The 19,123-nt window shown below is 40.0% G+C and overlaps 1 long non-coding RNA gene and 1 other non-coding gene across 5 annotated transcripts in view; both read right to left on the bottom strand.

Annotated features, from left to right (window-relative positions):
* LOC107985675 (uncharacterized) overlaps nucleotides 1-19,123 on the bottom strand; it is a 528,885-nt gene that overhangs the window by 314,087 nt on the left and 195,675 nt on the right. The gene's annotated exons all lie outside the window — the stretch shown is intronic.
* Nucleotides 15,237-15,333, bottom strand: MIR651 (microRNA 651). The gene has a single exon (NR_030380.1). It is a non-coding gene; the product is annotated as a microRNA 651 (primary transcript).

Genomic DNA, 19,123 nt, shown 5'->3' with positions numbered 1-19,123 from the left:
GGATTACAAGTGTGAGCCACTGCACTCGGCCAGAAATCATTTTTATTTGTCATTCAGATCAAATACATTGCAAATTTAGAGTGGGAGAGTTGCCATGCTAAATATTTCATGCACATGATTTAGTAAGGCCCACAGGGTAACAACAGTCACTGTCCCCATTTACATGTGCCCTCTAGAGCAGAGATGCTAAAGCACAGAGCCTTGGAGGGGAGGCCTGAGGATTCCCACCCAGTCAGCCTCCAGACCCTATAATCCTAACCACCACTCTATGCTGTGCCTCCACCCTTGTGCATGAATAAATGCCATTAGTTTTAGGTGGTTATTACTATCCCTGTTGTACAGCGAGCACACTGAAATCCTGTGAGGTCAAGCGAGTTGGGATAGATCCCTCTAAGCAGAAACTGACACCATCAGGATTCAGATTCTGCTTGCATAGGGAGCCCATGACCTCCAATTGACGACTCACAATTCCCACCTATGTCTCTCCTGCATTTGTTTGTGCAGGTCTTTTCCTCCTCTTGAAGGTAACCTCTTGCAGGCTAAGCAGTGTGGAAAAGTTGATGGACCTGAGACAGGAATGATACAGGGTGGTGGCAGGAGAAAAGGAAATTTCAGGCAGCAGTCCCACATGATTAGCAAAAGGAAACCGCTGAAATAGCTGCATAAGCTAGGGGCTGATAAGAACCTACAAAATAGGATGTGGACCAAGCTGGCTAAAACCAACTAGGCCCAACATGATGCTGGATTTGACCTCGTTTCACATAAGGCCTCATTATACACTCATTAACATACTACATCATACACCCACAAGCACCATGACAGATCTGGGAACACCCATATTTGGTGTAAAACTGGGTGGCACCACAGTTCCGAGAAATCTCACCTTTTTCCAGAAATCTTCGTTAATATTCCACCTCTTGGTTTAAGAAAACCATAAAGGTAGCAGCCCCAAACTCTGTTGTGCGTGACTCATTTTCTTGAGTACACCTGCACTCACCTTTCTTCGGTGTGTACTTTTGGTATGCAATAAATGTCCACACTTAACACTATTTTTTTGACTCTTCCTTGAATTTCTTCTCCTGATGGTATCAAGAGCCTGGACACCGGCCAGGATTGAGGTCCCACCTGGTTTTGGGGACCTCCCATAGCCTACGGGTATCAGACTCAGCACCCAGGCATTTTCTTCCAGTTCATCAACTTGCAAAAAGTGCAGCCACATGATACTATGGTTGTGAAGGAAATCAAAATATTTCACCGAAAAATAGGGCTCCCTGATATAATGAGTATTTTGAACGAAAAGCCCTTAGAGATCAACAAGTGCTGCAAAAAACTTTTTTCCTATCTACATAAGGCTAGGACTCACCCACCAAGGAGAACAATTGTTCTTGTTCCTCTCCTATTATCTCCTTACCCATTGCTGGAAAGATGACCAACATATTACCACACCTGAACAGACCCTTTTTCCAGATGACTGTCTCTAAGAATCAGTTAAATTCCAAAGAAAACTATTTACAAGTTAATCCCTGTTTCCCATGTATTCATTCTCCCTAGTAATCACTTACTGCCCCACAATAGAATTCTTCTTCTCCCCCTCCAGTCACCTATTTCACAAGGCTCCAAGGCCCCCACTCTTTCTGTAACCTCAGGATAGTGCATAAGCTTCAAACCTCATTGAGAGGTTGAGTCTTCATTGTGAAGACTCTTGTCTGTACACATTAAATATATTTGTATGCCTTTTCTCCTACTAATCAATTTGCCTCATGGTAGTGATTTTTCAGCAGACCTCTGGGGTCAAGGATCTTGGCCTTCACAGTTCAAAGGCATGAGATTGCTTTGCCAAATGCCTTCTGGGGAGGTTGTATTGTCATGGATAATACTGTCGTGGAAAGTGAACCTCATTGCTCTCTGATAACTGGGCAACTTGGCCCAAAAACACCTGGAAAAAAATCTTTTTAAAAAGGCCTATTCTGTCCTAATCTTTTGCCCGACATGATGTTTTCACCCAGAACGGGAGCAGCATTTATTTGTATACTTGACTAAAGCACTTCAGACATGACTTGAATACTGTCTAAAACATACATTTTCACTCTCATCCCCAACTGGGTTTTTAGGAAAGACTAACACCTTTGAAAAGTATCAGTGATAGCTATTTGCAAGTAGGAGATGCATCAGATGAAACATTTTTTGATGAATTTTTTTTTCTTCTTAACATCTGAGATGCTAATACCTCAGAGAGCTCTCCTAAGCATTTGGTTTTGAACATATGATTTGCTTTGCCCGGAAGATTTCATTTGATGTTTGGTACTCATTGGTAAAGCACTTTAAACTTCAAAAGCACTTCAAAATCGGTTGACTTGAGTCTGAAATCTTTTGCATTTACACAGTATGACTCACGGCACCCGGAGGAGTTGGTTGGAATCTTTCTCAATCCCTTTCACAAGGAAAGTTTGTGCAGCAACTCTCCTTAAGTCCTTGAGAATTTTTGCTGAAGTTTTAAAAATGGCTTTTAAACAAATGTCATTCAGCCTTCCATTAACTTTAACTTTTAAAAATTATTATTTTCTTAGCTTATCTATGGTTGAGCCAAACTTCAAACATAATTACAGTGTTATATGTCACTCTAATTTGTCTGAAACAGAAGTCAAGAAAATGGTTTTGTATTTTTAGAGACAACTACAGTTACTGAAATCCAATGGACTTTAGGATTCATTCCTGCTTTTCTAAATACAATTTTAAAATTATGAATATTTGACTGATATTTAAAATCCCATCAAGTACTTTTAAGGAGAAATATCTGGGAATGCCAACTGTCCTATGGGATTATAAGAGTTTATGAATAAAAATGTGGTGGTAACTTGGGAGTGTAGAACAGAGGTAGAATGCATTAAATTTTGCATTCTGGGGCTCCCCTGTTTAATTAACGGCTAATGCCCTTGTCTCTTTGCCAGGTTTAATTGGTTGGCGTGAAATGAAATGCATTAGGAATAAAGAACTGTTTTTCTTGGATAAAGCTAAATCTTTGATCACAATTTCAACTTGCATTAAAATTAATTTAAAACAAATACCAGGCAGTGGCACCACAACCCTCTTTTTGGATCTTTCAATCAACCAGAAAACCAAACAATTACGATCACTTTTTTTAAAATGAAAAACGAATTTCATTTTTTTTACTATCAGTAAGAGGAAAGGTCTCCCTGTATCACCAGGCCCAATGCATTCTTTGTTTAATCATATGACTAAAAAGCTAATTGTAGAGTCCTGCCTGTTTTCACTGCCTTAAAGACAGACTTGAAAAATGGGGAAACCAGTCTAGCATAAATTGTTCTGTTACAGCCTATGGAATTAGTCAGTATTTACAAATGATGGTGTCCTCATTCTTAAGTTCACTTTGTTAACAACTTGAAAAAAATCTAAGAAATACAAAAACATTACAGCCGGGTGTGGTGGTTCATGTCTTTAGTCCCAGCTACTCAGGAGGCTGAGGCAGGAGAATCACTTGAACCCGGGAGGCAGAGGTTGCAGTAAGCCTAGATGGTGCCACTGCACTACAGCCTGGGCAACAGAGCAAGACTCTGTCTCAAAAACAACAACAACAACAACAACGAAATATATTTCAAACACCAACACTACTCAGTAAATCTTCACTGTAGTGTTTTCTGTCCCTTACAATATAAATCACTTCCTATTTTTTCCCTTTTGACCATAAATAATTTGAGAACATATCCACTTGGTTTTCAGAATATTGTGAAAAGAAAGACCTAAGAGGTTTCAGTTTATAAACACGTGTTTATGGAACTGAAAATATTATCCTGGGTCACAGTGTTACGAAACAGTGACTTTGTATTGCCACGGTAGTAGGCGTAGGTCAGAGGCTTTGAGGTATCTGTCTTAGTCGGCTAGGGCTGCTATAAAAAAAAACCAAACTAACAAAAAAAAGAACAACTAAAACAACAACAACAACAATAACAAATCTACTATAGACTGGGTGGCATAAACAACAGACATTTGAAAGTCCAAAATCAAGATTTCAGCTAAATCAGTTCCCAGTGAGTGCTCTCTTCCCAGTTTGCAGACAGCCACTTCTCTATGTGTTCTCAAATGGTTAGTGTGGGGTGGGGAAAGAGACAGACAGAGAGAGAGAGAGAGAGAGAGAGAAATCTTCTTCCTCTTCTTATCAGCCACTAATCCCATCATGAAGCTTGGGCCCTGTGATGGTTAATATTGAGTGTCAACTTGATTGTCTTGAAGGATGCAAAGTATTGATCCTGGGTGTGTCTGTGAGGGTGTTGCCAAAGGAGATTAACATTTGAGTCAGTGGGCTGGGGAAGGCAGACCCACCCTTAATCTAGTGGGCACAATCTAATCAGCTGCCAGCACGGCTAGAATATAAAGCAGGCCAAAAAAAAAAAAAAAAAAAACACCATGAAAAGACTACACTGGCCTAGCCTCCCAGCCTACAACTTTCTCCCATGCTGAATGCTTCCTGCCATCGAATATCAGACTCCAAGTTCTTCAGTTTTGAGACTGGACTGGCTCTCCTTGCTCTTCAGCTTGCAGACGGCCTGTTGTGGAACCTTGTGATCATGTGAGTTAATACTTAATGAACTGCCATATATATATATATATATATCTCCTATTAGTTCTGTTCCTCTAGGGAACCCCAAGTAATACAGATTTTGGTACCAGAAGTGGTTCTAGAGGAATAGAATATTAAGGATGGAGTTCTTTAGTTAGTTTTGGGGTTTCTGGAGTTGGTTGCTTAACATGATTAGACCCCAAAATGTTAAGGACTTTATTTCTAATAGTATGGAGAACACTGATAGTCTTTGGTGTGAAATGTTTAGAGAGTTATGCAAAATAAATGCATTTGACACTCCTGATTCACTACTTGTGAAAGGCAAGGAGTTTAGTGACTCTATAGATAATACCTTTGACCATATGTGGAGAACCAAGGAACATAATGAAGTTGGTTGGTTGCTCCTAAGTTCAGTGGACAAAGTGATGAAAGAAAATGATGAACTCAGGGATTGTCTCCCAGCTTCAGAAGCAGATACTGAGCCTCAAATTTGCTAAGACTGCCCTGAGTGAAAGTCTTATCAGATAAATTCTAAATGTAAATTAAGTTTAGTTTTTAAATTGGTTACACTGTAGGCCCAGTTTGCTGTTTAAAGGTCTCTTTGACCCATGGCCTTGCCTAGAGGAATATCACTTATCTTTAAAATCTGATTGAATTGTAAACTCAGTTTAGAAACCTTTTAATCTTATATTTATATTTGGATAATATTTTCATGATAGAAAGTATCTAAATAGAAATATGCCTGTACCCATAGCATATGTATTTTTAAAAAATTTTTTTCCTTCAATTTTCAATTTTTAAAAATGTATTAACATTAGCTCCTTTATGAGGCTACTTATACAACTCTGTGCTGGGAATACTTCCTGAGAAATGCATCTTTAGGTTGTTTGGTCCTTGTGCAATCATCTTAGAGTGAACACACTCAAACCCAGAAGGCACAGCCCACACTGCTCACCTGGGCTGTATATTGTAGCCCATTGCTCCTGGGCTACACACCTGTGCACCCTGAAACCACACTGAATAATGTAGACAACTGTAACACATGTTACACATGGTATTTGTGTACCTAAACCTATCCACACTTAGGTAAAGTATGCTACAAATACGGTGTAATCTCATGGGACCACCATCAAATATGTGGTCTGTCACTGACTGAAATATTCTTATGTGGTGCAGGTGTATATTTCTCATGACTTTTTAATTGCATTTTTTGCCCAGCAAATTTTTAGAAAATTACATATTCAAATGTTATATATATTTGATTGCATTTGATTTTGAGTGATACTTAGCCCTTTCCCCACACTGAGATTATAGAAGAATTAATTCATTTTTCTTCTAGCACTTACATGGCTGTATTATGTAGGTATGCATACATCTAAGCATGTGTATGTGCATGTATGTTTAGATACTGGATTCATTTGGAGTTTACTCCTGTGTACAAATGAAGTATGGATCTAAATTTATCATTTTCCAGCTTGTCCCAACATTTGCTTAAAAATCCATTATTCTTGACACTGTGGTGCACACCTGTAGTCCTAGCTACTCAGGAGGCTGTGGCAGAAGAATGGCTTGACCCCAGGAGTTCAAGACCCATCTAAGCAACATATTGAGACCCTGTCTCTAAATTAAGAATAAACATAATACAGTAGCCAGGCATGGTGGTGCAAGCCCATAGTCCCAGATACTTGGGAGGCTGAGCCAGGACGATTGTTTGAGCCTGGAGGCTGAGGCTGCAGTGAGCCTTCATTGAGCCACTGCACTCCAGCCTGGGCAACAGCGTGTGACCCTGTCTCAAGAAAAAAATTTATTATTGCCCAGTGGTTTGAGATACCATCCTTATTAAATACGAAACTGCCTTCTTCTGTACTTCTACCGGTTTCTAGATGTTCTCTTCTATTCCTCTAGTCTTTCTGTCTTCTCATGTACCTGTAACAAATTATTTTCATTAAAGATGCTTAATAATGTGTTGAAATTCTGAAAGGGCTTGACCCTACTAAGGGTTTTTCTGGCTATTCTTGCCTGCTGGTTATTCCACATGAACTTCCGTGTCAACTAATCTTACTCCATAAGACAATTCGTAGTTTTCAAAAATTGTGACATTAATTTTATAAATTCACCCATTTAGAATTGACTTCATTATGTTTTTGAGCCATCTTGTTCAAGGATGTTTGGCCTTTTGTTTAATCTACGTTTTTTTCTTTCAGATTTTAAAGGTTTTTTAAATTATACACTTGGCACATTTCTTTTTGTCTTTATTTCTAAGGGGTATGTCATCTTGCTGTAATTGTACATAGAGTTTTCTCTAATACTGAATACTCTATAAATTTTTGTTTTGGGTGTATACTAATGACTTCTGTATGTTATTTTTATTGCTAATTTACTGAATTATTGTACTTTGTGAATTAGTTTGATCATTAATTATCTAAAGCTTTCCAGGTATCATCTAAAAAATAATAGGAATTAGTATTTTTCCTAGTCCTTATGCCTCTAACTGGTTTACTTATTTTTCTTGTTTAGAAAAACACCTTTAGCATCATATTCAATAGCAGTGGAGATACTCTGCATTCTTTTTTTAACTTTTAAGTTTAGAGGTACATGTACAGGTGTGTTACATATGCAAACTTTTGTCATGGGGCTTTGTTGTACAGGTTGTTTCATCACCCAGGTACTAAGCCTAGTACCCATTAGTTATTTTTCCTGATCCCCTTCCTCCTCCAACACTCCACCCTCTGAGAAGCCCCAGCGTCTGTTGTTCCCCTCTTTGTGTCCATATGTTCTCATCATTTAGCTCCCACTTACAAGTGAGAGCATGTGGAATTTGTTTTCTGTTCCTGCATTAGTTTGCTAAGGGTAATGGCCTCCAGCTCCGTCCATGTTACTGCAAAGGACATGATCTTGTTCTTTTTTATGGCTGCATAATATTCCATCATGTACATGTACCACATTTTCATTATCCAGTCTATCATTGATGGGCATTTAGGTTGATTCTACATCTTTGTTATTGTGAATAGTGCTGCAATGCACATACATGTGCATGTGTCTTTATAACAGAACAATTTATATTCCTTTGCATATATACCCAGTAATGGGATTCCTGGGGCAAATGGTATTTCTGTCTTTGTCTTTGAGGAGTCACCACACTGTCTTCCACAACGATTGAAGTAACTTACACTGCCATTGTGATGGTTAATACTGAGTGTCAACTGGACTGGATTGAAGGATGCAAAGTATTGATCCTGGGTGTGTTTGTGAGGGTGTTGCCAAAGGAGAATAACATTTGAGTCAGTGGGCTGGGAGAGGCAGACCCATCCTTAATCTGAGTGGGCACCATTTAACCAGCTGCCACCATGTCTAGAATATAAAGCAGGCAGAAAAACATGAAAAGACTACACTGACCTAGCCTCCCAGCCTACATCTTTCTCCCATGATGGATGCTTCCTGCCCTCAAGCATCGGACTACAAGTTCTTTAGTTTTGGGATTTGGATTGGCTTTCCTTTCTCCTCGGCTTGCAGATGGCCTCGCAATCATGTAAGGGACCTTGTGATTGTGTAAGTTAATATGTAATGTAATGAACTCCCCTTTATGTATATATCTATCCTATTAGTTCTGTTCCTCTAGAGAACCCTAACTAATACAGGTCCTCATGAACTCATCTAACCCTTATCACCTCTCAATGGCCCATCTCCAATACCATCATATTGGAGGTTAGGGCTTCAACATATGGACTTTTTGGTGGTGGGGGTGGCACAATTCAGTCCTCAGCTTTCCTGGTGTCTGGTTGGAAATCAGGGAATTGTGCCTGGATAAGGAAGGCAGTCCTTATTCAGGACCCCTGATAATTCCGTAAACAAAACTTCAGATGGTCCTTCACCTTGGAGAGAAGAGTCCCAGTGACAGGGGAGGGAGACAGAGCTGCCATTTTCAGCTGAGCACCCGCCAATGGGAAGGAACTGGAATCAAGTATGCCCAATGTGGTCACCTAGACGTGGAAAGTGGAGAAAGTGTAAAGGAATAAAAAACCTTCCTGGGGGGATAACAAACAATTTGATGTAAAGTATAATATGGAGAAAGGGCTTCCATGGAGTTAGCACACACAGAGGACAGAGAGAGGAATCTTCAGCAGGACATGCAAAGCAGAAAGAGACATGTAGAAGAAAAATCACATTCTGGAGAAAAAGTAGGATAAAAAGAAAGGAAATTGTAGGAATGAAAAGGGGCTGGGGTCAAAAGGCAAGCAAATACAAGAAACCAGAAGGATGTGGCTTTGAAAATGCAGGCTGAAAAAATAAAATGGTTATGAAGAGAAAGAAAATGGGGAAGTGGTCAGTCAAGAATCAAGTGTGAGCATGGCGGTGGGGAAGGGACAATGAATGGAAAGATGGAATAAAGGGCATTAATTGTTGAGAAAACATTCTAAAATGTTTCAGATTCAAGAAAGTCAACACTAGATTTAAACACCTGAGAAATAATTTATATTATCAATGATGTTATCAGCACTTGGAGATAACTGATATTCTGAAGTCACAGGAATTGAATACCTGGTGTTCTCTATAACCTCTTGGTCTTATTGATCAGCCAATGGCATCGAAAAAATGATTTTAGTTTACTGAAAACTGCATAAGCAATGCCAAATGTATGGCATCATCAAACTCAACCCACTTTCATGTTCAAGGTCTTTCATTCCTCATTTACTTGTCTTTCTCCTTGACTGCCTCTTTGTTCTCCTGATTTAAGAGGCACTACATGCTCATTATATGAAGCAGCTCTCAAGAGCACCTTGGGTTCTTTAGAGAAAAGGAACCAGTAAAGCTAATGAATATAAACCAATATGCTTTTTGGAGTCTGAAATGAAGCAAATGCATCAGCCACACCCACCCAGGTGGAACACTGAAGATGAGGTTAAGTTCTTTCTACATCTATAAAATGTATAACACTCTTAATAGAAGGATTCTATTGAGACAGAAAATGAGGTTATTGTTTTAATGATTTGAGTAAGAACAAGCTAACTTAGGATAGCAATGTGCATTATAGTTTCTGCTGCATTCTTGCAAACATCAGCTCTCCTGCCTGCTGGTTCACTGACAGATACTTCATGCTCCCCCAGAGTCTTTGGTGGAATGTTTTCTAATTGCCTTACATGTGATCCTTGATGTTTTCAATGTCTCACACTTCTAATCATTCAAAAAAGAGAAAATACTGTCAAAAGCTTTTGGATTAGAGTTTTTAAATATTTTCTGTCCCTAGCACAGTCTATTTATGTTAAGTTCACCCTTCACATGTATTATTTTTATTTTTGAGACAGGGCCTTGTTCTGTCACCCAGGCTGGAGTGCAGTGGCATGATCAAGGCTCATTCCCTGCAGCCTTGGCCAACCAGGCTCAAGTAATCCTCCCACCTCAGCCTCCCAAGTAGCTGGGATGACAAGCATGTGCCCCCACATCCAGCTAAATTTTGTGTTTTTTGTAAAAATGAGGTTTCGCCACGTTGCTCATGCTGGTCTTGAACTTCTGAGATTAAGCGATCCGCCCACTTCGGCCTCCAAAAGTGCTGCGATTACAGGCATGAGCCACCATGCCCAGCCCCTTCACATGTACGTACTGAGATCTGTACCAGTTTAGAAGTTAAATCATTTCAGAGAAACATATTAATGATACAGAACTTTCAGGAAACAATGGTTCCACAGTGGCCTGACGCTATGAACTCTATTGCAGCCATACCACCAAACATAAAGACAACCCAATACTAAAAAGGACTCTGACCTATTTTATCTTGGAAATAACTTTACCAAGAAGAAGAGCCTTTTTGTTCCTGTTCTTTAATTTTTGCATCATTCCCTTAATTGCTAGACCTCTAGCTACATTAAATCAGTTGAACATTTATCAATTTTAGGGAAGAATAGGAAACTTGAAGTTTTGACTCACTGTTTAGCCTGGCTGGGGAGGCCTCAGGAAACTTACAATCAGGGCAGTAGGTGAAGGGGAAGCAGACACCTTCTTCACAAGGCTGCAGGAAGGAGAAGTGCCAAGTGAAGGGTAAAGAGCCCCTTATAAAATCATGAGATCTCCTGAGAACTCACTCACCATCACGAGAATAGCATGAGGAAAACTGCCCCCATGATCTGATTACCCCCACATGGTCTCTCCCTTGACACATGGAGATTATGGGGATTACAATTAAAAATGAGATTTGGGTGGGGACACAAAGCCTAATTATATCAGGCATGAACCTCTCCAGATTTTAATAATTATTTTAATATATATGAGTTCTTACAAGCATAACATGAATTCATTTGGTCAAGAAACAATGTATAACAATGTATAGTATAGCATAAGACTTCTTTTTTCCCCCAGTAATGGATAAAGTATTCATGGATCTGATTTATTCAAGGAGTGCAGTGGAGCCATCACAGCTCACTATAGCCTCAACCTTCCAGGCTCAACTGATCCTCCTGCCTCCGCCTCCCAAGTAGCTGGGACTACAAGTGCATGCCACCACGCCCCGTTAATTTTTTGATGATCCATACAGGTGGAGTCTTCCTATGTTGCCCAGGCTGGTCTTGAACTCATGGACTCAAGCAATTCTCCCTCCTCAACCTCCCAAAGTGCTAGGATTACAGGCATGAGCCACTGCACTTGGCCTAATTTATTCTTAAAAGGCAGAACATCTATAAGAGGCCATCAGAGGGCAGATGGGTGAGACAAAATGCTTAAATTGGCACATTCTTTACATAAAGATTGAGTTTCCTCTCAAATTGTTAAAATGCACAAGGCACTAAGAGGGACAATTATGATTCTTCTCTATGGAAGTGGGGATGTGGCCTGTCTGTCATAACTTCATTGACGTTTGACATGTTAAAAGATAAAATATTTGTGCAGTAGACAGGCAAGCAAAAGATAGTCAAAATATTCAGCTAGGAAACTAACAGGTTAATAGAAAACATTTTCTATTTATTTTACATTAAGTTGTAATTTTCAGAAAACATGTGAGATTATTTTTTCCCCTAAATCAACCCCAACACCTTAATACAAGGTTTATTTTTGAAAAAAAAAATGTAACTGGAAAAAAATAAACAGAAAGTAGCTCACAGCAGCTTGGCTGTGAGATGAGTCTGGAAGGATGTTCTACAATATAAATATTTTACCTCCAACTTGGTCAGAATGGATGTACAAATAAAGACATGTGTAGACTTTTAGGTAGTAAGTCAGGAATTTTTTAAAAATGCACATTTCTAGATATGTATCTCAGTTAAAAGATACACTTAGATATATCCTCTCATGCTGTTCATAGATCCATCTGCTCAAAACAAATTTCTGAGCATGTCAGTTTCCCACTCCATGCTTTCTCACTTCATAAAGATAAAATGCTGACTCCCTTTCTGTTGCATTCAGCGTTGTTCCAAGTTGGACTTTAGTCTTTGTTGCAGCTTCATAACTCACTCCCTGTTCCAAACCTACACCCCTTCCTTCCAACAACTCATCCCTGTTCATGGAGCTTATGGCTTTAATCATACCTGTTCTCTCTCTCTAAAATGCCCTTCCATCTTCTCCTCTGTCAACATCACCCTTCTCCTTCAAGGCTTAGCTCAAATATTATCTCTTTTATTAAGCCTACCTCAAATCCTTCCTCACAGTCAGAATTAATGAGCTCTGCCTCTGTGGTTGAAAGAAGAGCAATTTTACTTCTATTATGTGTAGTGTCCCACTTTGTGGTATGTCCCTTCTTGGAACCTAAGTCTTCAACGCAATTATGACCTCTGAGGACAGAAATAGTTTTTGAGATTATTATTGAGACCATGTCTTAGTCCCTGTTCTGTTGCTGATAACAGAATACTGGAAACTAGGTAATTTATAAAGAAAATGAACTTATTTCTTACACTTATGGAGGTTGAGAAGTCCAAGGCCAACAGGCTGTATCTGGTGAGGGCCTTCTTGCTAGTTGGGGGTTGCAGGAGACCTCTCTGCAGCCTGCAGCATTCTCAGGAGGCACAGAGCATCGCATGGTGAGGAAGCTGAGTGTGTTAGCTCAGGTCTCTCTTGCTCTTCATATAAAGCCATCAGTCCCACTCTTGTTACAACCCATCAATACATTAATTCATAAACTGATTAATCCATTAATTAATAAGTGGATAATCCATTCTTGACAGCAGAGTCTTTATGACCCAGGCTCCGCTTAAAGGCCCCACCTCTCAACATCAGGGATTAAGTTTCAACATGAATTTTGGAAGGGACAAACACTCAAATCATAGCAGACCATGATTGCACAACAGTGTAATATCAGTATGGTAGGCTAGAGTTAGGTCAGATTTGACTTACACCAGCGCTGACAGTCTTTTATAAGTTATGGGGCCTTTTATATGAATAGTAATATCTATTCTGAAAGGAAAATAAAAACTTGGGGCCCCAACTCACTATGCCAGAAGAAAACAAACTAAGCTGAAAATTGAGTCGTGCAAGAAACTGCCTTTCCTCTTGTTCCTCTACAGACAGCTAAGATAAAAGGTTAAATGTCTCCATAGGTAGCTACTCTGTGTTCACCTTATCTTATGTAAAGTGCTGATTTATGGAGCAAGAGATAAATATATTATTGACTATTCCCCAACCTGCTTCCTTTCACTTGCAGCATGTGGATTCAGTAATGTGACCATACCCTCCCTTTTTCCCCTCCAGACAGCTATTCCTCTTCAAATGCTGAAGTCCTCAACATTATCTTTGGAGAAAGGCACAAACCTCCTTCACGATTATTTCCTTCTCAGTGGCAAAATAAACTTCTAAATTGATTGAGACCTGTCTCAGATACCTTTTGGTTTATACTATCTTGCAGAACTCTTAAGGCAAATGGAAATAGCGTATGTAAAATCCTTTGCAGAATTCCTGACATATAACAGGAACTTAATAAATACTAAATATTGGTAGATATTGGTATGCTTTTTCTAACGTCAAAGAAGGTTTATAGCAGCTATAACTAAATAAAGAAGATTGAAGGCAGCCTTAGCTCTAAAATAAAGTCCCTCTCCCAAGGGAATTTAGGGTCTCTCAGGAGAGATTAGATAAGGACATTCATGAAAACAATCCAGAGCCGTATGGATATGATTGGAATAAAGGGCTTGAAGAAAGAGTTGTATGTAATCTTAGGATGCAGACTTCACTTCTGGCTGGTGCAATCAATGAATGAATGCTTTGTGGAGGATGGAGCATTTGAGCAGGGCCATGAAGAAAGGTTGCTATAGACAGAGGTATCAGGTACTTGCAACTAGAAGGAAAAGAACCAGTACCAGAAAGTGGAAACTATAATGTATTTAAAAAACAATGCAAGACAGTGACTGGTTGGGGATTCCAGTTGATGTAAGGCCATGTCTGGGAAAGAATGCACAGGACAGTATTGTGTCCTCAAAGACCAGCTAAGGGCCGGGCACAGTGGCTAACACCTGTAATCCCAGCACTTTGGGAGGCCGAGGCAGAAAGATCACTTGAGATCAGGAGTTTGAGACCAGCCTGGCCAACATGGTGAAATCCTGTCTCTACTAAAAATACAAAAATTAGTTGGGCATGGTGGCACACACCTATAGTCCTGTGGTCCCAGCTACTCGAGAGGCTGAGGCAGAAGATCACTTGAACCCGGGAGGCGGAGGTTGCAGTGAGCCGAGATTGTGCCACTGCACTCCAGAATGGGCAACAGAGCGAGATCCTTTCTTAAAAAAAAAAAAAAGGAAAAAAAATTGGCTAAGAATTTAGGACTTTCTTAAGGAGATAAAGGGAAGATATTTAAGACTCTCATAGAACACAATTTAGACGGCTAAAAAGCTAAAGATGAATGCAATGTATCATAGCATCATCTTACATGAGTAGGTCTTGGGGCTTGGTTTGGTTTGTTTTGCATTTCACAGTCCTTTACCAGAGAGTTGCAGGTTGTTATCAACATTTTCTGCAGACTTTTGGAGATAAACTGTTTTATCTTAGAGTGATTCCTCCTGATACAATATAATGAGAGGAATACAAACCCCTTTATAGAAAAGGCACACATTTCAGCATACAGCCTAGGTAAAAAGTAAGGGTTAACTGGCTTAGTTGAGATTAATTATATAGATGTTTATTTCCCAGTTGTTATGTGTCTGTAACATAAAAGTGGTTATTGACTAAAAGTAGATGTGCTTCATTAATATCAGTGTGAGGAGAAGAGCAACAGGGAAATGCAGGCACCCATGCCGTGTGGGCTGGAATCTGGAAGACGTGGCCCCTGGCCAGGTATGCGCTGATGACAGGTGACATTCACCTTGCAATCTGCCATAAAATGGGAATCATAATACCTGCTCAGTCCTCCAGATGAAATATTGACTGGAAGTCATATATAAAATCGTCAAGCAAAATGCACAATAAAATTAAAATTGCTACTTTTCAAGACATAGGAAGTGTATTAATTGTTTTTTCCTGCTTCTTTTCTGTCAGGATCAACGTTGAATAAAGTTTTGTCAAACACATCTCACTTGATGCATCTCATATCACTTAAAAAATAACATTGGGAAAGTCTTTCCTTTCACTTTATTCATCCTGACTCTTCTTTGCTAAATATTCTGTATACAAATTTCCACATAACATTATGTTTAGAGTTGTACTATCCACACAAAATGGTTCATATATGGATCTCTTGAAGGTTGCATGTCAGAAACACATTAAACTGTCATTGCCTTTTAGGATACACTTTCCTTTTGCATTTTTATTTGAACAAAAGTCAAGCTTATCCTAAAAAGCAGTGATAGATTTCTGTAGATCTAGGGAATTGTTAATACATTTTGTTATCTGTATCATACATTTGTACACAGCTGCTGAGTAATTCAACTGTTTAGAGTTGAACTAATGTTTTTGAACAATAAGTCAAATTCCACGATTTAATCTACATCACAAGAATTTCACTTCCATGGCATTATGGAAAAATGCGCAATCTGTTGTCAAGGTTGAATTTCATTTCTGCTTTCACAAATAAATTATGCCTGTCATTTCCATTAGACACAGTCCTTACCTAGATCGTTACAAAACATCTTTGAGAAGCTTAGGGCATCTCCTATGTTCCACTTCAGATAGAGATATAATTTACTGAGGGGTTAGAAAGAATGGTCAATAAAGCTGACAAAATATTTTAGCATTTGGAAAAAAATTTAAATGCCTTAGTGCAATAATTCCTGGGGAAACTATGGTCGCTAAAATGACTATAATTCTTATTCATGTTCATTCCCGGTTTAGGGGCCTTCCTTAAAGAAACTAATTTCAGAATTTATTTAAGTCATAATAAAGGGTCTTAAAACCACCTGATTTCCTGAAGTTTTCTTTACCACTCTGATTTCCTGGTGCCTTCCTCTCTTCCCTGTGTCTAGGTGGAGAGTGGGAGGTGCACATATGAGGTAATGATGTGTGTGATGATGTAATGACGTGTCTGATTATGCAATGATGTGTTTGGTGATGAAATGATGAATGTAATGATGCATGAGAGGCTCTTGTTGATTGCAGATGATAAGAATAAAAGACTTAGCTCACTACTTCTGGCAGGGTCTGGTAAGAAGGCATTACCACCCTATGCATTCCAACAGAAGGAATCTATTGAAAATGAATCATTTAGAAAGGGGCAGGAGATCCAGAAGAAGGTAGAAAGGGAAGGTAAGATGGCCAAGAGATTAAGAACTGCAGAAAGCTCCTACCACTTCTGTGCTGAAGGAGTGAAAGAGAAAATGGTTTCACCAAGAGCCCGTAATCCCCCACCACTGAGGCTCTGAGAGTATTCATGGCAGCCTTAGAACCAAGACCACCACCTTGCAGGAATGCAGGAGCCCAGGGCCCTGATGCTGTCTCAGGACTCTGGGAGCCTGAAGCTGCCAGCCCGTCACCACCATGGCTTGAGCCAGAGCCTGCACCTGCCGTGCCCCACAGGCTGCTGCATTTGTGCTCGACACTGCTGCCTCACTGCGACCACACTGCCTGGGGACCACGTGGGAGCCAGTCTTTCCCTTATGGAGGCTCTGGACAAAGGGAGGGAACCCAAAAGCCTTCCAGTTCCTGTCTGTGCTTCCCATTGGAAGAGCCCCATATTCCAATCTCACACAGTTCACCCCCACCCCGACCCTTTCAAAACTCATGCAAGTTCTTCTCTTTGGTAATCACTAATCCAACACCCATACTCAGAGGCTCCAGACTGAGAAATGTATTTGTAGGATCCCAGCACCCCGCGACACAGGGGATAGCAGCAGAGAGTAGGAAGGAAGCTGGAAGCAAGAAGATAAATGACTGGTGCTCTTGGCAATCAGTCACAATGCTCCTGGGATAGGGCTGCCTGACTTAGTAAAATGACAGGTTACCCAGTTAAATTTGAATGCCAAATAAATAACAAATCACTTTTAGTTTAAGCATATCCCAAATATTGCATGGGACATGCTTATACTTAAAAAAAAAAACACATTTATTGCTTTTCTGAAATACAAATTCAATGGGTTAACATGTATCCTATCAGGCAACTTGTCCCAGGGGCTATCTGACTTACTCCTTACAGCACTGTTAGACTAAATGGGGCTAAGTTTGCCAGCCACCTCTGCAACTTTAGTCCAGTAAGGTAGACAAAGGGCATACATGTAAACCAACAAATAAATGTATACCATTGTGCATTTGAGGGTGAGGGTGGTTACTAAAGAATTTGAGAACTAAGAATGCTATTTAGGGAGGGGTTTTGCTCTTCTGTTTGTCTTTCTGAGGGAGAAGGTTCATGAGCTTTGAGGCCACAGTTTGGCTGACTGTGACTGAGTTAACCGTCAGAGCTTTGTGAGCATGTGGATGAATCTGGGTTCAAACCAGAAAGGAAAATCACTAAAAGTGTGGCAGCATTTGGGGTTTCATCACAACCATGACGTGGAAGATGGGGTAGAGCTCTTTGAAATAGCTGCTTCCAGTAGCCTGGGCCTCTGGAAAATAACGGCTTCCACTTCATTCCACGTCCCACATCCCACGCAAACCTTCTCATTTTTCTCAAAACCCATTCTCAGAAGGGATTATGCACATTGGGAAAGGACATTAATTGCCAGTTTTCCCAATAGTAAAATGGCAGCAGGAATAATAACAGCAGTGGTTAGCACTAATGAGTTATCTTTCAGCCTGAAGGATGTTATAGTTCTAATATTCCTCATCGTGTGTTGTACTTGAGAATATGAGGTGGGGCACAACTTCTCATACATCACAGAGAAAGAGGGAAACATTCTGAACGATATGATGAAACAAACGCTGGAAATGCTACAGTGAAAATTAAGATGCTGGCCAGGCACGGTGGCTCATGCCTGTAATCCCAGCACTTTGGGAGGCCAAGGTGGGCGGATTGCTTGAGCCCAGGAGTTCAAGACCAGCCCGGGCGACATGGGAAAATCCCGTCTCTATAAAAAATACAAAAATTAGCTGGGCATGGTGGTACACACCTGTCATCCCAGCTACTGGGGAGGCTGAGGTGGGAGAATTGCTGGATCCTGGGAGACAGAGGCTGCAGTGAGCCGTGATTGTGCCACTGCACTCCAGCCTGGGCAACAGAGTGAGACCTTGTCTCAAAAAAAAAAAAAAAAAAAAAAAAAGAAAAGAAAGAAAGAAAAAGAAAGTTAAGATGAGAAAAATACATACATACACACACACATACACACACACTTTTTTTTGGATAAGAGGCATTTGTTTTTGTGTGTTTTGCAGAAGCCTCAGTATCACCCAGGAGATGGTGGCAATGGGGTTTTTGATGAGTATTGAGAAGAAGGGTGGTGGGGATTTGGGTAGGTCACAAGTCTGATTTCTGCTTGTACACAACAGGATGGTATGCTAGCCACACCGACAGTGTCCTTAGTAAAAATTTCTGCAAATCCTGGCCAAGGAATTGGGGCAGAAAGAGGCACTAAGCTAAAATGAATACAGTATCACTCTTTGGTCTTTAACATACCAGTCAGCACACACAAGAATGTTATAACAACATTCAATATCTTAATTGTACCTTTTCAAATAAACTGTGATTGTTATTTGGATGATTCACAGCCGTTTAAATGTTCTGAATGTTTTGAAGAAAAAAAATCCTTGTTTTTTTAAAAATGCTGAAGCCCTTAAAGATGTTGAAGTGAGAACTACACACACATGCCAGATAAGACCCAGACAAATGGTTAGGGGACTGGCTGGGAGTGGACAGAGGCCGAGGAATGCCTCAGAAGAGAGACTTTGAAGATATATCTGAACTAGAAATGCATTCATGGAAAACACTGGGGTCTTCGGTTCAAATTTTAGCCACGGATGCCAGGTTAAAACCATTGACCTACACATATGGAACATGGCTCTGTCACACTGATTGAACTGGACAGTGTGAAAGCATTTCTGGTTTTCAACGTGTCTGATATCCTGGCCACTTAGCACACAGGCAGCTTCATGAGCAAAGAGCTCCCAGTCTGGAAAATCTGGTGGAATCTAAAACCAAACCAATCAATTTAGATCTGTCTGCTTGAATCATTGTTGGTTGAGAGTTTGTTTCCAAATGAAGGACGTGTTTGAAAATTG

The sequence above is a fragment of the Homo sapiens genome, chromosome X (genome assembly GCF_000001405.40).
Source record: "Homo sapiens chromosome X, GRCh38.p14 Primary Assembly".
NCBI classification, from domain to species: domain Eukaryota; kingdom Metazoa; phylum Chordata; class Mammalia; order Primates; family Hominidae; genus Homo; species Homo sapiens.
The sequence above is the reverse complement of the archived record's forward strand: the minus strand, read 5'-3'. Positions and strand labels throughout refer to the sequence as shown.